Source organism: Homo sapiens, chromosome 18 (genome assembly GCF_000001405.40).
Source record: "Homo sapiens chromosome 18, GRCh38.p14 Primary Assembly".
Lineage (NCBI taxonomy): Eukaryota > Metazoa > Chordata > Mammalia > Primates > Hominidae > Homo > Homo sapiens.
The window spans coordinates 46,883,923-46,907,850 of NC_000018.10; the positions used below are offsets into that span (position 1 = coordinate 46,883,923).

General features: G+C 37.9%; 1 protein-coding gene across 30 annotated transcripts in view, besides 2 other annotated features; it reads right to left on the minus strand.

Annotated features, from left to right (window-relative positions):
- The window catches only part of PIAS2 (protein inhibitor of activated STAT 2), a 116,928-nt gene that overhangs the window by 80,705 nt on the left and 12,295 nt on the right, over nt 1-23,928 (minus strand). For 9 of the 30 annotated variants that reach the window (NR_136684.2, NR_148702.2, NR_148700.2 and 6 more), the window contains exon 2: nt 6,658-7,132. The exons of 1 other annotated variant lie outside the window; for it this stretch is intronic. Coding sequence is in view for 23 of the 29 variants with exons in the window: in NM_004671.5 (NP_004662.2) it covers nt 6,658-7,132 (475 nt within the window). In the remaining 6 variants the exon portion in view is untranslated. Of the gene's footprint in view, nt 1-6,657; nt 7,133-9,508; nt 9,610-10,888; nt 11,149-18,512; nt 18,636-19,604; nt 19,714-22,285; nt 22,394-23,928 lie in introns of all 30 variants that reach the window. 20 more of the 30 variants (NR_148703.2, NM_001324046.2, NM_001324048.2 and 17 more) reach the window with 7 other exon arrangements.
- Nucleotides 15,180-16,005: an enhancer, noted in NCBI's record as "OCT4-NANOG-H3K27ac hESC enhancer chr18:44479065-44479890 (GRCh37/hg19 assembly coordinates)". NCBI's record gives its function as "activates a minimal SCP1, AML or CMV promoter by ChIP-STARR-seq in naive H9 embryonic stem cells {active_cell/tissue: H9 hESC(naive)}" and the evidence as "EXISTENCE:reporter gene assay evidence [ECO:0000049][PMID:30033119]".
- Nucleotides 15,682-15,751: an enhancer, noted in NCBI's record as "active region_13283". NCBI's record gives its function as "activates an Ori minimal core promoter by ATAC-STARR-seq in GM12878 lymphoblastoid cells {active_cell/tissue: GM12878}" and the evidence as "EXISTENCE:reporter gene assay evidence [ECO:0000049][PMID:35858748]".

Consider the following 23,928-nt stretch of genomic DNA (forward strand, 5'->3'; position numbering starts at 1 on the left):
ACTTGAACCTGAGAGGTAGAGGGTGCAGTGATGCCACTGTACTCCAGCCTGAATGAAAGAGCAAGACCTTATAAAAAGAACAAAAACAAAAGGAATACCTTATATAAATTTCAGAAGCAAGCTAACTAAACTTTTTTTTACAAATACACATATATGATGAAATAAGCAAACAAGAGAAACACAAATCCAGGATAGTGATTTAACTCAGAAAAGAGAGGGCTTTAAAGATATGGTAATGTTCCTTTTTCAGAAAGTAGCAGCTTCACAGGTGTTCATTCCCTTGAATCTTTATAACTTAACATGTTTTATATACATATTCCTTTATACAGATAGAATACAGACAAATTTTTAAAACAGAAAATTCCCAAAGGATCTCATGTTTTATTTATTTATTTTTTATTTTTTTTTGAGACAGAGTCTCACTCTGTCACCCAGGCCAGAGTGCAGTGGCTCGATCTAGGCTCACTGCAAGCTCCGCCTCCCAGATTCACGCCATTCTCCTGCCTCAGCCTCCCGAGTAGCTGGGACTACAGGTGCCCGCCACCACGCCGGCTAATTTTTTGTGTTTTTAGTAGAGTCGGGGTTTCACCATGTTAGCCAGGATAGTCTCCATCTCCTGACCTCGTGATCCGCCCACCTCGGCCTCCCAAAAGTGTTGGGATTACAGATGTGAGCCACCGCACCTGGCCTCATGTTTTTTAAAAATTATCTTGCCAGGTGCCGTGGCTCACGCCTGTAATCCCAGCACTTTGTGAGGCCAAGGCAGGCAGATCACTTGAGGTCAGGAGTTTGAGACCAGCCTGACCAACATGAAGAAACCCTGTCTCTACTAAAAATATAATAAATTAGCCGGGCGTGGTGGCACATGCCTGTAATCCCAGCTACTCGGGAGGCTGAGGCAGGAGAATCGCTTGAACCCAGGAGGCAGAGGTTGCGGTGAGCTGAGACCGTGCCATTGCACTCTAGCCTGGGCTACAAGAGCAAATCTGTCTCAAAAAAAAAAAAACTTAAAAAATTGAAGAGGAAATCAAGACTGCCTGTGAGAGCACATCAGGATGGTTATTTAAGGAAAGAAAATGGAGATTTTTGCTAGTTTGTTTTTAGATTAGGGGATTATCCATTTTGTTAACAGTAGAACCTTAGCTACAGAGCACTTTATTTAGTATTATTGTATACACTCATGTTTTCAAGATACCACAATTTTTCACTTCAAGTGATAAAAAAAATTTTATATCAACCCTTTTGAATAGAAATAACCCCAAGCTGCAAAACAATATACTAATGTATCTTCTTAAATAGAATATACTCATTATGGGCCACAGGCAGTGGGTCATGCCAGTAATCCCAGCAGTCTGGGAGGCTGAAGTGGGCAGACCACGAGGTCAGGAGTTCGAGACGAACCTGGCCAACATAGTGAAACCCCGTCTCTATTAAAAATACAAAAAAAATTAGCTGGGCGTGGTGGCGGGTGCCTGTAATCCCAGTTACTTGGGAGGCTGAGGCAAGGAGAATTGCTTGAACTTGGGAGGCGGAGGTTGCAGCTAGCCAAGATCATGTGACTGCACTCCAGCCCTGGTGACAGTGCAAGACTCCATCTCAAAAAAAAAAAAAGAAAAAAAAGAGCATATACTCATTATGGTTTTTTGACATACAGCTACTGGTTTCAAAATCCCAAGAGGTTCTGGAATGACATTTTTGACCTCATGTCTGTTTTTCGCGCCACTGCACTCCAGCCTGGGTGACAGAGCGAGACTCCGTCTCAAAAAAAAAAAACAGTGATAGGTAGGATTCCTGAAAAACATTGTTTTTAGTTCAAGGGTAGAAAGTGTATAAGCCATGAGGATACGTGTATTTCTGGCATTCTAACTGAAGCTACGACCAAAATGCAGGGAGTTTAGTTACTCTTCTAAACAAAATATCTCTGGCATTATTTTATCTAAGCCAAATGAGATAGTTTTGAACACCAAATATGAAAAGTTTTATTTTAGTAAATTTATAAAGAGCATACTATTTAACTTTACTGAGGTTAATAAAAGAGAAACTCTGTGATGAACAGAGCAAAGTAAGAAAATTTCTAGTTCTATTTGTGAAAAAAGCAGGAAGGTAAGGAAAGAGAAAAGGACAAGGCCTCTCCCATGTCTCCCTCTTGGAGTACCACTGAGCAAAAGCCTACTACAGCATCTTCACTTAGTCCCCCCCAGTCTTCTGTCCATGTCTCTAAAACACATTCCACTGTAACCACTACCCTACAGACCCTCTTATCCTCTCTGTCCTGTGCTTAGCCACATTCCTGAGGGGCCTCATGAAGCAGGGCTACCCAAGCCATATCACTAGTCTGAATCTTTCTCAGAATAATAGAAAGTAATAAATTTGCTAGTCCTTCAACATAGATAAGGAAAAAAAATTTTTTTAAGTAATAAATTTATAATAACTGCTGGGACAGAATATATAAATGAACCACGACATTGTGCATGATACTGTCCAAATGCCATGATAAAGGAGGAATTAGAAAACAAATTAGGGAAATACGTTAACCAGATAAATCAACTCTTTAAAAACAAGGCTAAAGATGAAAGTAAAATCATAAAAGACAGACAACCGGGTAATAAGCATTTAAAATACTTGCTCTTGTTGGCCAGGTGCAGTGGATCACACCTGTAATCCCAGCACTTTGGGAGGCCAAGGCGGGTGGATCACCTCAGGTCAGAAGTTCAAGACCAGCCTGGCCAACGTAACGAAACCCCATCTCTACTAAAAATACAAAATTAGCCCGGTGTGGTGGCACATGCCTGTAGCCTCAGCTACTCGGGAGGCTGAGAGAGGAGAACTGCTTGAACCCGGGGAAGTGGAGGCCGCAGTGAGCCGAGACAGCGCCACCGCCCTCCATCCTGGGCGACAGAACAAGACTCTGTCCCCCCCCTCCAAAAAAAAACAAATAAAATCGAATAAAATAAAATACTTGCTCCTGTTACTAATTTTAAAAATAAAAATTTAAGCAAGATACAAGTTTTCATCTAAAAATCACAGAGATCTGTTTTCAATAGCACCCAGTAAAGGCAAAAAGTAATGAGATATGACAAGCATTCTCTCACTTTGCTTGTGGAATTTAAACTGGCACTAAAATAATTTGGCAATATGTTATCAAGAGTCTAAAACGTTCTTTTTACTTGATCCAATAATTCTACTCATAGGACTTTGTACAAACAAATAATAAAACATGAACAAACACTCAATCCTTATTTCAAAGTGAACGTAATAAAGAGATAAAATGCAATACTCCACTTGCTTGGATCACCAGTTTTGCTAAAACATAAATAAAGCAAAAAGCAAAAAATTGAAAAAAAAAAAAAAATAGCCACATTGCCTGCCACTAGTCAGGCCATACTAACCCCACTAACTAGCTCTACCCCTCAAAACCTTCCGATTTAACCAAGACAGGCTGCAGTACAATCCTGTAAGACAGGTAAAAAAGCACACTGATATGTTTAAGTGTTTTCACATGACTGAAAATAAAAAGGGTTTTCCCAAGAAAGAAAAGAAAGCAATCTTCCACATCAACTATGAAATGTTACTTCCCAATTTATTTCATAAAGAAATTCAAATATATTTGTAAATAACTTCATTAGGCAGTAAGAATTATAACACAGCAATGCAAAAATTTGTTAGTCACATTGTAAGCAATTGATGGGCATTAAATAAAAGCTAAAAAACTGCATGTCAAACTCCCTGTGCCACTTTAGAAATAAAATTAAATATAAAAGGTTTATTTCTTAGAAAATCAGTTTAAAAGCTACATTAAATGGAAAGTAAGTCCCTTTATAAAAATATGAAAAGTATCAAAATACAAAATCAGGATCAATAAATAAGATTTGTATCTATTCCCATTCACACGGAAGCAATCTGATTTCTACACCATAAGAATGCTTGAGTAAGTTCTAGCCAGAGCAACTAAGCAAGAAAAAGAAATAAAAGGCATACAAACAGAAAAGAAAGAAGTAAAATTATTCCTGTTCACAGATGGTAGGCTCTTATATACAGTAAACCTTAAAGATTTCACACAAAAAACCTGTTAGAATAAATGAATTCAGTAAAGTAGCAGAATACAAAGTCAACACGCAAAAATCAATTGCATTTTTATAAACTAATAATAAATATGATGAAAAGGAAATTATGTAGTTTTTACAATAGTATCAAAAAGAAAAAATATTTCAAAATTAACCACGAAAATGAAAACCTGTACAATAACAACTATAAAACATTGCTGAAAGATATTAAAGAACACATAAATAAATAGAAACACAGCTCATGTTCATGTACTGGAAGACTTAATTTTTTTTTTCCCCATCAGCCTATGTGGGAAAAGAAAGACTTAATATTGCTAAGATATCAATACTACCCAAACAAATTTACAGATTCACTACAATTCCTCTCAAAATCCCAATTTTTTTTTTTTATCAGAAATAGAAAAACTCATTCTAAAATTCACGTGGAATCTCAAGGGCCCCAAATAGCCAAAACAATCTTACAAAATAATTAAAGCTGGAGAATTCACTCTTCCTGATTCCAAGACATATTACATAGCTACGGTAATCAAAACTGTGATACTGGCATAAAGACAGACATCTAGACCAATGGAATAAATCAACAGTCACAACCTTTTTGGCCAGGACCAGTTTCATGGCAGACAATTTTCCCACAGGCCAGGGGAATGGTTTCTGGATGAAACTGTTCCACCTCAGATCATCAGGCATTAGATTCTCGTAAGGAGCATGCAATCTAGATCCCTTACATGCACAGTTCACAGTAGGGTTCCTGCACCTATGAGAATCTAATGCCACTGCTGATCTGACAGGAGGTGGAGCTCAGGCTGTAATGCTCGAATTCCTGCTGCTCACCTCCTGCTGCTCACCTCCCGCTGTGCGACCTGGTTTCTAACAGGCTGTGGACTGGTGCTAGTCCACGGCCTGAGGGTTGGAGACCTTGGAACAGAGAACCTGGAAATAAAACCTCACATACATGGTCAAATACTTTTTGACAAGGGTGCTAAGATCATTCAGTGAGGGAAAGGACAGGCTTTTCAACAAATGGTGGGGAAAAACTGGATATCCACAAACAAAAGAACAAAGCTGGACACTCACCTAATACCATATACGAAAATTAACTCAAAAGAGATCAGGCTTAAATGTAAGACCTAAAACTATAAAATTCTTAAAGGAAAACACAGGGCAAAACCTTCACAGCATGAAGTTTAGCAATGATTTCTTGGATATGACACCAAAGGCATAGGCAACAACAACAAAAAATAAACAAATTGGAATTTCATGAAAAAATGTTAAGTTGTACATCAAAAGACACTATCAACAGAGTAAAAAAGGCAAACCACAGAGTGGGAGAAAATATTTGCACATTCATATATCTGATAAGGGATTATATCCAGAATATACAGAGAACTCCTAAAACTCAACAACAATAAAACAAACCAATTCAAAAATGGGCAAGAGACTTGGCTATACATTTCTTGAAAGATACATAAATGGCCAAAAAGCACATGAAAATGCACAATATCACCATCATTACAGACATGCAAATCAAAGCTACAATAAGATACCACCTGACACCCATTATAATGGCCACTATAAAAAAAAAAGGAAAATAAAAGTGTTGTTAAGGATGTGGAGAAACTGGAACCCTTGTGCACTGTTGAAGGGAATGTAAAATGCAGCTGCCACGGAAAACAGTATGGTGATGCCTCAAAATACTAAAAACAGAATGACTATGTGATCCAGCAATTCCACTTGTGGGTATACAGCCAGAAGAATTGAAAAGCAGGGTCTCAAAGAGATACGTGTATACCCGTGTCCACAGAATTATTCGCAATAGCTAAAATGTGGGAGCAACCCAAGTGTCCAATGGATAAGCAAAATGTGGTATCCTATAACACAGAAATATAGAAGTAAAACCAGAAGAAACAGCTAAAATAATTAAGGTTGTTGCCTCTTGAAAGTGAGATTGAGGGATGAGTAGTGGAGTGAGCAAAAGATTACTATTTTTCTTTAAAAATGTATACTATTGTATTATTTAGCCTTTAAAAGGAAAGAAATTCTAACATAAACTACAGCATGCTAGAACCTTGAGGACATTACATTTAGTGAAATAAGCCAGTCACAAGACAAATACTGTATGATTCCAACGACATGAGGTACTTGGAATAGTCAAAATCATAGACAGTGGAAGTAGAATGGTAACTGCCAGGGGCTAGTGGGAGAGGAGGAGAGGAAGGCTATTGTTTAATGGGTACAGAGTTTCAGCTTCAGAAGATGAAAAGAGTTCTGGAGATGGATGGCAGTGATGGCTGCACAACATTACCAACATACTTAACACCACTCAACTGTACACTTTAAAATGATCAAGATGATACATTTTATATTATGTGTATTTTACAATAAAAGAATTGGAGAAGAAGAAAGATCAAATGATATGAAATAAAGCTTCTATTAGATTTCAGTCATGGTTGCCGAATTTTTATCCGTATATTCAAACATTCGGCATTGATGCCTCAATTTCACTATATTAACAGCACATCATTAATCAATAGTTGAAGGTCTCTCATTTCATTTACTATCTTGTTCAGAAGAAACTGAATTCTCAAACACTTACCTAAACTCGTGGGCTTGATGAGAACATCAAGGACATCATAAAAGGGCAGATTTTTTAACTGCACATCAGGATGGACAGGAGGAATTGGGGGAGATGGCTGCTGCATCTCAAATGTGGGCTTAGTATCTTGAAGCAGCACAGAACCAACAGGAGAGGATGGTGAGTGAGGTGTAACTGAAGTGGAAGGCAACGAGTGGATTCCAGCCACGGCCAAGTCAGGTTCTACAGGTGATGAGCCACCATCCAAACTGAAAACCGATGATTTGATTGTGGATAAATCAGAAAGTCCTTCAAGAGTTCGTGGATATCGGCGTCTATACAATTCTCGGATTTTAATCTGAACCGCAGGGCTGCAGCCGCTCTTCAATAAATGCAGCGCCCTCATCAGGAGGTCATGCTTGCGTCCACTTTTATTCCGTCCAGCAAAGCCTAGTAATACTTGTAGTTCAGAAACCCTAAAACTAGAAACCATATTCTAAAAGGAAAGAAAAAAAAACATAAGCCAAGTCACCCTCAAGCATACAAAAATCCTATCTAAAATATAATGTAAAATGTGATTTTTCCAGCATTCTATCAATTGGCATGTGCTAGTAACAGCATTTCACATACCACTTAGAATCATTACCATTCATAAGACAATCCCGTAAAAATTACATTCAAGTTACGGTGTTAATTATATTTTGTTGTACAAGATCTTAATTTTGGTAATCTATAGTCTATTGGTTTCTACTAACCACTTCATTATCTGATTATGCTCTAATGCAAACAGTTATTTGCTTTATGACTATAAAATCTATCACCAATGAATATACTCCTTTTCAAAACCAACCCCTCCCAATATACAATGTAATGTTTGTTACAGAATTATCGCCAATTAACCAAACAAAAAATCAGATTTTCACAATGTTAGATGTGTAACTTTTGATGCTGAGTAGTAAATCCATAAAAATCAAGTCAGAACTGTGATCCAAAATGCAATGAATTTTTTACCCCAATTCAAACATTAACAAACAAACAACATAATAAAGATATTTTAAAATATTAAAGCTAAAAAATCACATACATCTTATTTAGCAGTCAAACTTCTAAAACAACTGAAATTCCCAGCTGGGTATCCAAATGAGAAAAAGACCTTTGAAGAGCAAGGAAATGAGCAGTCATCAATCTTAAAGGGCAACATTTCCTCCACACTACTCTACTGGCTTGTGCTTGGGCGTAAAACAAAGGTTATAAGCAGTTGCAGCTTCACATCACACCTTCTATTTTTTCAGCAAAACTTAATGAATATTTTTAACCCCTTGCAGCCTCAGGAATCCACCTACTTAGTGATTTCCAGTCAATTCTGAACTCAGAGGCAAATCACACTTGGGTCAGATACCACACATGCATCATCTAGCAAGAAAGAGGAAGAACACCTGGAGCTGACCAAAGCCCTGTCAGAAACCTACCCAGGAGAACTACCTGTGGTTTGGTGTCCCATCCCATCCTCATCACTCCCCCAACCCAGCCCGTGCTACACACTCCACAGTCACTTGGGATTCCTTTTCAACCTGCTTGTCTCATCAGTATAGTGGAAATGTGGGGCAGTTGCTCTGTACTTTTTAAGTCTCAGGGACGGCCCAGAAGCAACTGTTTAAAACCCTATATGGTTTTTAAATACTTGTTGGTATAAATACTTGCTAGTTTACTAAAATGCAAACAGATTTAAATATGCCAAAGTAATCCATATACACTGTCATAACTGTACTTTGTGTACTATATATGTCTCTATATTTCATAATGTACAAGTGAGAGAATATTAAATTGTAATCCTGGCAAGCCATTTTATACTCTAATTCAGTGCTGTCCAACACAAATTAATAGAAGACACACATTAAACCTCCTAGTAGTCACATTAAAAAAACTAATTTAGGCCAGGAACAGTGGCTCACACCTATAATCCCAGTGCTTTTGGAGGCCAACACAAGAGGATCACTTGAGCCCAGGAGTTCGAGACCACACTGGACAACATACTAACACCCCGTCTCCACAAAAATTTAAAAATTAGCCAGCCATGGTGGTGTGTGTGCCTGTGGTCCAAGCCACTCAGGAGACTGAGGCGAGAGGATCACTTGAGCCCAGGAATTTGAGGCTACAGTGAACTGTGATCACACCACCATATTCCAGCCTAGGCAATATTAAGACTGTCTCAAAAATAATAATAATAATAATGATAATTTACATTAACATAGTTATTTAACCCAATATATCAAAACTATCTTTTCATCTCAACATGCAATCAATTTTTGTAATTTAAAAATAATCATTTTTTAAAGTGTCAGTGGGATTTTTTTTATACTAAGTCTTCAATATCTGGTGTATATTTTACACTTACAATACATCTAAATTTGGACTAACCACATTTCAAGTGCTTAAGAGCCACATGTGGCCACTAGCTACCACACTGTGGTAGCTCTAAATCATACTCTAATAGAACACATACCACAATGTGTGTTACCTCTACAGTGCAGACAACAAAGAAGGAAAACAAGAAAACTTTTGGCCTATCTCATAACAAACCAGTCACAGCTTACTCAACATCTCATGCATTAAACAGAAGACAACAGCTTCTTGGGAAGGGTTTACCCAAGCAAGTAATACGATGCATCTTTCCCTCAATCTTAGTAAATACTTCAATTGATTGTGGAACACTAATACTAAAAAAGGCAATCACACAGATAAAACATAACTGATTTTTTCTAACTCAGAATTCACTACTTTGCTTCACTCCTTATACTTATTGTCAGATATTCTTCATTTTAAGGGAAGCTATTTTACAGAAATGACAAAACAAAGCACAAAGTCATCCTACCTAAGCTTGACTCTCAGAGGAATTTCTAGGAGGTCTCATATCTCATATTTCCAGTGATAACATTATTTGGCAAAGGATGTTAATGCAACTGGCTCTATGGGCTGTTGTAAATAGACAAACAAAAAGTAAGAAAGAGATAAGAGCTTAGACTATGAATGCGGAATCACAGAATTCTGAACAGCAGATGGGACAGTCTTTGCATTACAAAATGCTGCAAAGATAAAGTATTGCTGGACACATAGCCAAAGGTAATTAAGTCAACAGGGCCCTGTGAAAAACTTCAAGCCAGCAATCAGCAGTTGTGGTTCAAGCCCAAGCACCAAGACTTTGGACCCTGGGAAAGTCATTTCATCCCTCTGGTCATCAATTTCTATTTTAAAATAACAAACACCCCCCAAAAAAATCCCTCTCCTTGGCCAGGCACAGTGGCTCACGCTTATAATCTCAGCACTCTGGGAGGCAAGGCGGGTGGATCATTTGAGGTCAGGAGTTCAAGACCAGCCTGACCAACATGGTGAAACCCCGTCTCTACTAAAATTACAAAAATTAGCCAGGCTTGGTGGTACACACCTGTAGTCCCTGCTACTCGGGAGGCTGAGGCAGGAGAATTTCTTCAACCCAGGAGGTGGAAGTTGCAGTGAGCCAAGACTGAGCCACTGCACTCCAACCTGGGCGACAGAGTGAGACCCCATCTCAAAAAGCAAAAATCAAAAATCCCTTTCCTTTATTTAGCACTTACTGATAAAATAATCTCAAAGCAGCTTACTAAGTAAAATTCTACAAATATGTTGTTTGGCAAATCTTACCAGATCCCACTTCCTCTAGGAGTAATACCTATTTTTTCTTAACTTAGTCTTTCACCAAGTTTCAGGCCCTTCCCCCACAGTGAGTGGGTGTGGTGAGTAGAGAGGGTCACCAGAGCCCACATGGGGGTTAAGGTTAGCCTGCTATGAACACTACCAAGAATGGATTTCAGTTGTTTTTCTCCACCAACCTCTGATGTTGGTATCTTTAGTCTAATTTTTTCCAAGCGGTTTTTCCACTCCACTGCGCTAACTCTCAAAGGCTCCCAAGTCAGCCCACTTCAGTTAAAACTGTTATTCCTACAGACGAATTTCCCTACAGAGAAATGTGTTGGCATAATTAATTGTGTAAAAAGATACGTAATCTAAATTCTAAACAAAAACTAACATAAATTAAGACCAGAGTTTTAAGTCAACCTTGTTCCTTTATCAAATGAAAATAAACACAAAATTATTAAAAATTTTAAAGCTGGGATATTATATAATTGAAACACTACATACAAAGATGAAGGCAAGCTGAAGGTGCTACCTCATTAGGTAGAAAATACCTCATTAGGCTGGGCGCGGTGGCTCATACCTGTAATCCCAGCACTTTGGGAGGCTGAGGTGGGTGGATCACTTGAGGTCAGGAGTTTGAGACCAGCCTGACCAACACGGTGAAACCCCGTCTCTACTAAAAATACAAAAAAATTAGCCAGGCATGGTGGCAGGTGCCTGTAATCCCAGCTACTCAGGAGGATGAGGCAGGAGAATCGCTTGAAACCGGGAGGCGGAGGATGCAGTGAGTCGAGACCATACCATTGCACTCCAGCCTAGGCAACGAGAGGGAAACTCCATCTCGGAAAAAAAAAAAAAAAATACCTCATCAAACAGGTATACATGACAGTTACATGTAATCACCAGTGAATAAAAATATTTCCCTGAGATTGCTCTTCAATTCTAAAACATGAGACAGAAGCTGCAATAACGGCCTAGAATTTGGGGAAGTGCTAATAAGGTTAGAAATCATGGTAAAGGTCAATAAGAACTCTGTAGATTCCCCATCTGCTATGATGTATATAATACAGGAGAAGACGAGAAGCTGCTGAGGGCAACTGACAAACTGCATTATTAATATTGCCTACTCCAGCTACAATATTAAAATAATCTACCTCAGGACGGACACGGTGGCTCACACCTGTAACCCCAGCACTTCGGGAGGCCAAAGCGGGCGGATCATCTGAGGTCAGGAGTTGAAGAACAGCCAGGCCAAAAAGGCAAAACCCTGTCTCTACTAAAAATACAAAAATTAGCCGGGTGTGGTGTCTCGCACCTGTAATTCCAGCTACTAGGGAGGCTGAGGCAGGAGAAATGCTTGAACCCGGGAAGTGGTGGTTGCGGTGAGCGGAGATCACACTACTGCACTCCAGCCTGGGTGACAGAGTGAGACTCCATCTCAAAAAAGAATAATAATCATCTACATCTTCATTTATAAGTAGGAATAAAGAAAAACTGCCAGATTAACATAATCCCTCAAAAAAGAGTGACCAAGCTAATGCCATACATAAGAGGAACTATGTGGCAAGCCAGAAAGATACTGCTTACTCTTTTCAAAGGTCATTGGAGGCCCCAGTTCCTGGTCCTGTATTCCTGGTGAAATCATGTAATCCCTATAATTAAATCCACTTTTATTTGAGAGACTAATGGGTTTCTCCCTTACAAGATAATGATTACAATAACTCCTAGGTTAAAGAAATCAAATTGAAAATCAACTATTAAGAGAAACAATAAAAAAAATGCTACATTCCAAATTCAGGGAAAACATCTCCCTAAATGCTTCTATTATTATACAACAGAGATTTAAAATAAAGTAGTCAATTAAGGAAGCAAAAAAGTAATAATAAAATAAACCAAAAGGGCTGGGGAAGCATTACAGGATAAAAAGAAAAAAGCAAAAAAAAAAAAAAAAAAAATTAATTAGAAAGCAAAATGCAGTGAAGTCAGATCCACAAAAGGGAAAGTAAACAAACGTATGGTCTTATAAATGAAAAAAAAAAAACTAAACAAATTTCTTTAAACAAAGAAAATAGTGCATGCAACTATATATTCTAATAACTTAAATACAGATAAAAGTGGTTTCCTAGAAAAATACAAATTACTCCATCTGATTCAAGAAGAGGTATATTGTCTTGCCCTCCCTCCACATCCAAAAACATCTACCCAAACAAGACAGCTTCATGAATAAATTCCACCAAGCTTTCAAGGAAAGGATGGAATTCTGTTCCTTAAACTGTTCAAGAGAATAAAAGCCAGGGAGTAAAATACATACGTGTTAGAAGACAAATATAGAAAAATGCTGAACACAAAACATGAAATTCAAAAAACATGCAAATTATTGGTTTTCAAACTTCAGCAGGGAGAAGTCCACCCTATCCAACCAAACTTTTAGGCAAAAGCCTATGAAATGGCGGGCCTAGTATACCATACATTCTTTCTCATTTATCAACATGGACCATAAGAAGTCTTTGTGTAACACAATTTACAAACCAATATTAACACATCAATGTTTCCTGTGAGTGTAGACATAAAAGTCCTCAATGCACCCAATACAGTGTAATCTACCAATATAAGAATGGTTTAACATAAATTAAGTAAATTGCTTGGTTAAGATTATTTCTATCCTTACAGTCATAAGATTGAGTATTTATGTATAAAATTATACAATATATGGAGTTTCCTTTCAAATAATTTGGGGGAAGTAGGTGGGGACATATATGACAAAAGACTGGAGTTGATTAACTTCTGAAGCTGTGTACTGGGGACACGAAGAATTTTCTATCATTGTAAATTTAAGAGTGTTTCAATAACTCAAAAGTTTGCTTGAACAGGGGAAACTGGGTGTGGGCATGTGGGGACTCTACCACCTTCCCAAGTTTTCTGTAAATCTAAAGGTATTCTAGATTTCATTAAACAAAAACTGTTAGTCTGTTTGAAGGTGAGGTAAAAAAGCGGTTATGGCATAAATACTATTTCCCATAAAAGGAACCCAGACTCCTTGGGGAAATAAATGGCTGACTGCAGGTCTGGGGCAGGAAATGCACAAGATAAGCCTATAACATTTTATCGCACCAGAAAACAGAGAAGCTATCAAAGATCACGGGGCCTTGTCAGAAGGGCAAAGAAAACATCCAGAATGGGCTCCTAGTAGCCTAAGATGAGAAAATTTGAGCATCAAAAAGAATAATAACTGCATTGGATTCAAACCGATTAAATATAGTAATGTTTCATTTTATTCATAATAATACTTTAAAAATCACTGATCTCCTTTAAAGGATGTTAAGGGAAAAATTCATCATTATTCTGACAACTGATAGAGAAAATGCAAACAGATTTTTGGTTTGAGTAGAAAAGCCATATGATTAATGGCTAAATGCTAGAAGGGCATTTGATAAAATTCTATTCATTCCTGATGAAATCTCTCAATAAACAAGAAAAGAAAGAAATTCTGTTAACATGATAACTGGTATCTGTCAGAAAGCAATAGCTAATATACTAAAAATGAAACACTAAATCACAAAGCTAAGACTTCTAAAATGTATACTATGTTCTGTCATTTGACAGTATTCTAAAAATTCTAGATAATACAAGGCAATATAATTTTTGGGTTTTTTTTTTTTGAGACAGGATCTCGTTTTATTGCCCAAGCTGGAGTGTGGCAACACGATCTTGGCTCTCTGCAGCCTCAACCTCCCAGGCTCAAGTGATCCTCCCACCTCGGCCTCCAGAGTAGCTGGGAGGCCAGCCCAGTTAATTTTTACTTTTCATACAGACAGAGTCTCCCTGTGTTGTCCGGGTTGGTCTTAAACTTCTGGGTCCAAGTGATCCTTCCACCTTGACCTCCCAAAGTGCTGGAATTACAGGTGTGAGCTACTACACCAAGGCAATATAATTTTTTTTTTTTGAGAGAGAGAATCTCACTCTGTCACCCAGGCTGGAGTGCAGTGGCACCATCTTGGCTCACTGCAACCTCTGCCTCTGGGATTCTTTGCCTCAGCCTCCCAAATACTTGGGATTACTGGCACACACCACCACACCTGGCTAAATTTTGTATTTTAGTAGAGACAGGGTTGCCATGTTGGCCAGGTTGGTCTTGAACTCCGGCCTCAAGTGATCCACCCACCTCGGTTTCCCAAAGTGCTGGGATTACAGGCATGAGCCACCATGCCCAGCAAGGCAATATAAATTTTTTAAAAGTAACATTTACTATTTACAAATGACAAGACTCTCTCTATTAGAAATATAAGACAATCCACTGAAAAATTTAAACCAATAATATTAAGGCAAAACATTGAATTTTCCGTATATCAAATACATTTTCAAATGGCTGAAAAAGAGTATTAAAAAAACCGAAGTAACACAAAAACATAAAATGCAAAAGAATAAATTTTAAAATTTTGCAAGAGGTACATTAAAAAACTATAGAATAAAAGAAGCTTTGAGGCCGGGTGCAGTGGCTCACGCCTCTAATCTCAACACTTTGGGGGGCTGAGGCAGGTGGATCACCTGAGGTCAGAAGTTAGAGACCAGCATGGACGACACGGTGAAATCCCGTCTCTACTAAAAATACAAATATTAGCCGGGCGTGATGGGAGGGTGCCTGTAATCCCAGCTACTTGGGAGGCTGAGGCAGGAAAATTGCTTGAATCTGGGAGGCGGAGGTTGCAGTTAGCCGAGATTGCACCACTGCTCTCCAGCCTGGGTGACAGAGTGAGACTCCATCTCAAAAAAAAAAAAAAGCTTTGAATAAATTAAACAGACTGTATCATGCATGTTACTAGATAAAAATACTCAACACTGAAAAGGTATCAATTGTTTCCAAGTTATAAATATAAAAAAATTCCAACGACTGGTTAATGAGTTGGAGAGCTTAACAGACCAAAACCTTAATAAAGAATTAAATAAAACATATAATATGGCAGGTCATGATGAATAAAATGAACAAAAACAAAGGAGGAAGGGACACAAAAAGTGAAGAAGTAGAGGATTTGCCATTTTAAAGGGGAAAGGCCTCACTGAAATAGTAACTGAATAAGTAACTGAAGCAGGAGGAAAGCACTCTATGGATACCTGAGGAAAAGCATTCCAAGGCATTCCATAGCAAATGCAAAAGTCCTGAAGACAAAGGCAGGCCTAACACACTCAATGAAAGTGAAAGGCAAAAAGCTCACCACTGCCGAACCAGAGTAATCTAGAGGAATGAGTTATTTGTTGCTATTTGAGACAGGGTCTTGGCTCAGCTGCCCAGAGTGCAGTGGTGCAAACACTGCTCACTGCAGCCTCAACCTCCTGAGCTCAAGTGATCTTCCTGCCTCAGCCTCCAGCATAACTGGGACTACAAGCACACACCACCATGCCTGCTAATCTTTTTAATTTTAGTAAAGATGAGATTTCATTATGTTTTGCAGGCTGGTCTCAAACTCCTGGGCTCAAGTGATGCTCCTGCCTTGGCCTCTAAAAGTGCATAAGCCACCATGCTGGGCCCAGAATGAGTATTAAAATCACAGAATGATGTTCGTTTTTCACAGAAAACAAATGTGGGGAGGGAGGTAGTCAACTAAACAAACCTTTACTATATGAAGTAACTATCAAATTTGTGAGGTTAAGAAAACACAGATCTCATCCTGACAGCATCAGGAAAAATATAAAAATAAGACAGAATGAAAATGCTGAGCAATGAAGGCATATAAATTGGTAGTAGGGTGCAAGGGTGCATTTTGGGAGGCCAAGTGGGCAGATCACTTGAAGCCAGAAGTTTGAGATCAGTCTGGTCAACATGGTCCAACATCGTCTCTACTAAAAATACAAAAATTGGCTGGGCATGGTGGCTCACGCCTGAAATCCCAGCACTTTGGGAGGCCGAGGCGGGCAAATCACTTGAGGTTAGGAGTTCATGACCAGCCTGGCCAACATGGTAAAACACAGTCTCTACAGAAAATAAAAAATTAGCTGGGTGTGGTGTGGGAGCCTGTTATCCCAGCTACTCGGGAGGCTGAGACAGGAGAATCGCTTAAACCCAGGAGGCAGAGGTTGCAGTAAGCAGAGATCACGCCACTGCACTCCAGCCTAGGTGACAGAGTGAGACTCCATCTTTAAAAAAAAAAAAAGATAATATAGGCAAGGAACAGTGGCTCCAACCTTTTAATCCCAGCTATTTGGGAGGCTGAGGCAGGAAGATCACTTGGGCCAGGAGTTCAAGACCAGCCTGGGAAACAAAGTGAGACCCAGGTTCTACCAAAAAAAAAAAATTGTTTTTAATTACCACGGCTTGGTGGTGCTCAACTGTAGTCTTGATTACTTAGGAGGCTGAGGCAGGAGGATACCCTGGGCCCAGGAGTTTGAGGCTGCAGTGAGCTATAATCATGCCAATATTCCCAGCCTGGGTGACAGAGTAAGACCTCATCTGAAAAAAATACAAAATAGAGGCTGGGCACAGTGGCTCACACCTGTAATCTCAGCATTTTGGGAGACCGAGGCGGGTGAATCACGAGGTCAGGCGTTCAAGACCAGCCTGGCCAAGATGGTGAAACCCCATCTCTCCTAAAAATACAAAAATTAGCTGGGCCCGGTGGCAGGCGCCTATAATCCCAGCTGCTCAGGAGGCTGAGGCAGAAGAATCACCTGAACCCTAGAGGCGGAGGTTGCGGTGAGCCGACGTCGTGCCATTGTACTCCAGCCTGGGTGATAAGAACGAAACTCTGTCTCAAATAATATTAAAAAATAAAAATAAGGAAGAACTAACAACAATTCAATATAATTTCTTCCAGAAAACAGAAGATGAGAGAATATTTCCAAATTCATTTTATGAAACTAATATTACCATGATACCAAAACAAAACAAAGACAACACAAAAAATTAAACTACAGGCTGGGTGCGGTGGCTCACACCTGTAATCTCAGCACTTTGGGAGGCCAAGGCGGGCGGATCACCTGCGGTCAGGAGTTCGAGGCCAGCCTGACCAACATGGAGAACCCCATCTCTAAGAAAAATACAAAATTAGCCATGGCACATGCCTGTACTCCCAGCTACTCAGGAGGCTGAGGCAGGAGAATCGCTTGAACCTGGGAGGCGGACGTTGTGGTGAGCCAGGATCATGCCATTGCACTCCAGCCTGGGCAACAAGAGCAAAACTGTCTCCAAAAAAAAATTAAACTACAAACCAATATTCGTCATGAATATAGACGTTAAAACCCTTAACAAAATATTAGTCAATAAAATTCAGCAATATATAAAAAGAATTAAACACCATGGTCATTATGCACCATGACCAAGTGGAGTTTATTCCAGTATGCAAGACTGGTTCATTATATGCCACTGCTGCTCAGCATTTTCACTGTGTCTTATCTCTGTATTTGTTTTGAGATCTATAGAATACATCATATTAACAGTTACAAAAAACCAAATCATATGATCAAATCAATCAATGCGAAAAACGCATTTCACAAATTCAACACCTGTTCATGATTTAAAAACCCTCAAAAACAAGAATAGAGGAGAGCTTCCTCAATTTGATAAACAGGTCTACCAAAAAAATAAAATTAAGCCAATATTATACTCAGGGCGGAAAGATTGCTTTCCCTCTAATATTGGGACTGAGGCAAAGATGCCTACTATCACCCCTCATTCAACACAGTACTAAAAGTTCTAGCTAGCAGAATAAGACAAGAAATGGAAATAAAAGCAGTAAGAGTTGAAAGGAAAAAATAAAACTATATTTGTAGATGGAATGATTGTTCACATAGAAAATCTCAACAAATCTACAAAACAACTCCTAGAACTTGTGAGTTCAGCAAGGTCCCAGGATATAAAATCAACACACAAAAACCAACCACATCTTTATACACTAAAAATGAACATGTGAAAACAAGTTAAAAACATCACCATTTATAACACTCCAAAGAAAATTAAAATACATATGTAAAAATGTAACAAACACGTACAGGACTTATATGCTGAAAGCTACAAAACACTGAAAAAAAAAAAAAAAATCTAAGAAAATCTAAAGGCCGGGCACGATGGCTCACGCCTGTAATCTCAGCACTTTGGGAGGCTGAGGTGGGCAGATCACCTGAGGCCGGGAGTTCGAAACCAGTCTCACCAAAATGGAGAAACCCCGTCTCTACTAAAGATGCAAAAAAAATTAGCCATGCATGGTGGCACATGCCTGTAATCCCAGCTACTCGGGAGGTTGAGGTAGGAGAATTGCTTGAACCCGGGAGGCACAGGTTGCAGCGAGCCGAGATCGTGCCATTGCACTCCAGCCTGGGCAACAAAAGTAAAACTCTGTCTCAAAAAAAAAAGAGAAAAGAAAACCTAAACAAATAAATTCTTCACGGATTGGAAAACTCAACATAGTAAAGATGTCAACTTTCCCCAAACCGATATATAGGTTTAACATAATTCCTATCCAAATTCCAACAAGATTTTTGTAGATATAGATGAGATTATTCTAAAATGTATATGAAAAGGCAAAAGAAATATTAATAGAACAGCCAAAACAATTTTTAAAAAGAACAGAGGGAGAGGAATCAATCTATCCCATTTTACAACTTAGCTAGGACTGACAGACTGCATGGTATTAGTGGAAGGGTAGACACATAGATCAAGCAAAGAGAATACAGAACCCAGAAACAGACATATACATACATACCCAAATAATTTTTGATAAAGGTGTAAAATTAACTCAGTGGAAGAAAGACAGCCTTTCAATATATGGTGCTGGATCAACTGGACACCCATAGACAGAAAAATGAACTTCCACTTAAGTCTCATACCTTATACAAAAATAACTCCAAATGGATCACAGAGTCAAATGTAAAAATAAAACTGTAAAACTTTTTTTTAATAAGCAGGAAAATATTTGGGATCTAAGACTAGGCAGAGTTCTTAGATTTGACACTAAAAGCAAGATCCATAAAAGGAAATATGACACACTGGACTTCACACAAACTAAAACCTGTGCTACGCAAAAGACCCCTTTAAAAGGAAAAAAAGACAATCAACAGACTCAAAGAAAATATTAACATTTGCAAACACATATCTGACAAAGGACTACTATCTAGGATATACTTAGAACTCTCAAAACTCAACAGGAAAAGAAAAAGAATTCAATTAGAAAAAGGACAAAAGACACAAAGAGACATGTCATGGATTGGGATATACAGATGGCAAATAAGCACATAAAAATATGTTCAGCATCATTAGCCATTGGGGAAATGCAAATAAAAACCTCACTGAGATATCACTAGATACCTACCAGAATGGCTAAAATGAAAAACACTGATAACACCAAATGCTGGCGAGGATGCTGAGAAACTGGATCACTCCATACATTGCTGGTAGGGATGTAAAATGGTACAGCCACTCTGGAAAACAGTTTAGCAAGTTCTTTAAAAACTATACATACAATGACCACACAACCCAGCAACTACACTCCTGGGCATTTATCTCCGAGAAAGATGTGTGCGTAAGTTTACCAAAAAAACCTATGCACAAATCTTTATAGCATTTTTATTCATAATTATCAAAAAACTGTAAACAACCCAGATGTCCCTCAACAGGTGAATGGTTAAACAAACTATAGTGAATTCATATCGTGGAAAACTATTCAGCAATAAAAAGGGATGAGCTGTTTATATACAACAACTTGGATGAATTTCCAGAATTATGCTGAATGAAAAAGCCAGACCCAAAAGGTTATCCACTGTGTGATTCTATTTATGTAATATTTTTGAAAAGACAAAAATCATAGAAATGAAAAAGATGAGCGGGCCCCAGAGAGTGAGGGAACTGGATGAGACAGGAACAAGTGTGACTATAAAATAACAATACTTTGGAGAGAGGGATCCTTGTGGTGATAAAATGGTCTATATCTTGATTGTGTTCATGTCAATATCCTGGTTGTGATACTGTACTATGGTCTTTAAGATGTTAACTCTGAAAAAAAACTAGAGAGAGTATACAGAATGTCTCTGTATTATTTCCTAGAAATGCAAGTGAACTGACAATTATCTTCATTAAAAGTTTAATTAAAACTACAAGGAGTAAGACTATCAGACTAGATTTTTAATTTTCTTAAAATTCAATGGTATTATATTTGAAAGAGATAAAACTGAAATAAAAGGACACAAAAATGTAACGGTGAGGAGAAATTTTTTAAATTAGGCAAAACTGACAAAAAAAGAAAAATAACCTAGAAGGCCGGGTGCGGTGGCTCAGGCCTGTAATCCCAGCACTTTGAGAGGCCCAGGTGGGCAGATCACCTGAGATCAGGAGTTCAAGACCAGCCTGGCCAACATGGTGAAACACCATCTCTACTAAAAATACAAAAATTAGCCAGGCATGGTGGCAGGCACCTGTAGTCCCAGCTACTCAGGAGGCTGAAACAGGAGAATCACTTGAACCCACGAGGTGGAGGTTGCAGTGAGCCGAGATCGCGCCACTGCCCTCCAGCCTGGGTGACACAGCAAGACTCCATCCGTCTCAAAAAAAAAAAAAAAACAGAGATGGGGGTCTCACTATGGTACCCAGGCTGGTCTCAAACTCTTGGGCTCAAGTGATCCTCCCACCTCAGCCTCCCAAGGTGCTAAGATTACAGGATTACAGTTCTTTCATGTGCTAGTAATAATGTTAAAATATGGTTTAAAAATCGATAGAACTACAAAGAAAAATGAAAAACGAAACAAAATTCTAGTAAAAGATTAACTCTGCTCTCTTAATAAAAAATAAAGATATGAGATTTGAACAACATAATTAACAAGGCTACATAATGAACATATATAAAACTGCACCAAAAACCAGGCAATACATAGTCTCTTCATGTACAAATAAAAATTATTAAAATGGACCACATTTTTAATAGTCTAAACATATTTCAAAGAGTTGGCATTATACACACCAATTGGCATCACACTCAAACAGGCTGCCTAACCAAAATGCAATTACAAATCAACAGCCAAATCAACTAGAGGAACTCTGTTTGGAAATTAAATTTTTAAATAGCTCATAAGTTAAAGAATTCACAACGGAAAATAGAAAAATACAAGTAAAAATAACGGAAATATCACACACATCAAAACAAGGAGGCAATACGCAGACATTTTATGATCTTAAATAACTATGTTAAAATGCTGAAAATTAATGACAGGCACCCAGCTTAAGAAATTAGAAAAAAAGAACAGAACTACAAAGGAAATGTAAGAAAAGAAAAGAAGAGCAAAAATTAATGAAACAGGAAGGATACACTAAAGAGCATAAACAATATCAAAAACTTGATTCTCTGAAAAATCTTTAAAAATTGGCAAACTTTTAGCCAAAAATTATCAAGAAAAAAAGAAGGCATTTTAAAAAAAGACAAGGGGATATTAACTACAAGTAACTGCAAAGAAGAGATTAACAACTAAATGCTACAAATTCAAGAATGTGGATGAAATGAACAACTTTCTATAAAAGTATGAACTACTAAAACAGGTTTGAAACTTGAAAATATGAACAGTCCTACAACCAAAGCAATTGAAGCATTCCTCAAAGAAAACAATAGTAATAATTTTATAAGCAAGTTCTACTAAATATTTAAGAAACAGACCTTTCTAATGTTACATAAACTCTTCCAGAAGAGAAAAGGTATATTTTTTAACTATAGGCTAGTTTTACTCATTATGAGAGACAAAAATCCTAAATTAAATATCTCCAAACTGAGTCCAGTGAAAAAAAGGAACAGATAGATCAGGGTTGAATTTATACTTGCAACACAAAGTTTGTTTAAATATTGGGAAAAAAATTAATATAACTCAGCATGTTAACAGATTACAAAAGAGAAATAATTTTCTCAAAAGATGCAGAAAAAGCTTCTGATAAAATTCATTCATGATTTTTTAAATTAGCAAACTAAGAAAGGGAACATCCTTAACCTGAAAAGATTATCTATAATAAACCTACAGCAAGCATCATACTTAACTGTGAAACTTTGAAAGCATTCCCTTTAAAATCAGGAACAAGATCAGGATGCCCCCATCACAGCTTCTATTCAACATTGTACTGGAGATCCTAGCCAGCACATTAAGACAAGAAAAAGAAAGAAAAAAAAAAAGCATAAGAATTGGAAAGGAGGAAACAAAGAGGTCATTATTCACAGATAGGACTGTCTGCATAGAAAAATCCAAAAGAAATCTAAAGATAATTAATCACAATTAGGAGTATAGCAAGGTTATTATACAAAGTCAAACTGTACTTCTGTGCACCAGCAAAGTATAATTATAAAAAGTTAATATTTATGATTTGCTATAAAAATAATTTGTTAGAAATAAATCTAACAAAATATTTGCAATACTTTAACTGAAAATAACAAAACTTTATTGAAAGATGTTGTAAAAAACCTAAAAGAAATGGAGATTACAATGATTGTGGTTAAGAAAACTTAGCAGCAAAATGTAATTCTCTCCAAGCTAATTTACAGATTCAGTGCATTTCCCATCAAAATACCAACAAGATGTATGTGTGTGTGTGGGGGGGGGGGGAGGTGTATAACATGAAAATATGATTCTAAAATTACATGGAGAAGCAAACAATCAAGAAGTTCCTTGAACAATTACAAGCCAGGAGGACTTGTGCTACTTCTGTCTCCCTCAATGACTGACTAGACTGTTTCATACCAACCCTCCCTGTGAGAACTTAACAACTGAATATAATATTAAAAAACAAAAATCTGTGTGAATGCAGGAGGCACTACAAAGGCAGTAAGGACCTGAGACACCAAGACTCTGAAAAGAAGGAGAGCCTGCAAAGCTGAGTCTCTTGATGCCTTCCCCGGAGATATCTGCCAATGGAAAAGGGCAATGGAGAGGTTAAAAGTCCAGCAGAACTCTGAATAGACTCAGGGGAAACAAGAGAAGGTATGTGCAAAACATAACCAGCAAGAGATGGTTTCCAAGATGTATAATGAACTCCTACGAATCAGTATGGAAAAGACAGATGTCCCAATATAAAAATGAGTAAAAGACTTGGCAAGCCACTTTACAAAAGAAACCCAAATGGCCAATAAGCACATTCAAAGGAGCTTGACATCATTACTTATTAGGGAGATGCAAATTAAAACCACTACACATTCACCAGAGTGTCTAAAATTAAAAGGGTAGACAAGGATATGGAGCAACTGGAACTCTACTATATCACTAGCAAAAGGGAATGAACCAACTACAACTACAGACAACAATAAGGATGAATCTGGCAAACGAAACAGAAAAAAAGGCAGAAACAACAGAATACATATACAGAAACAGAATACAGTTGACCTTTGAATAACAATAACATATAGTTGAATATTGAATAACAATAACATATCCAATAACAAAAACCTGTGTTAGTCAAAGGTCAACTGTATCTTGTCAACTGGTTTGAACTGTGCAGGTCCACTTATACGCATATTTTTTTTTCAACCAAATGCAGATCAAAAATATGGTATTTGCAGGACGTGAAACCCACATATACAGAGGGCCAACTTTTCCTATACATGGGTTCTGCAGGGCCAACTTCAGGACTTGAGTACACATGATTTTCCTGTTGGGAGGGTGGATCCTAGAACC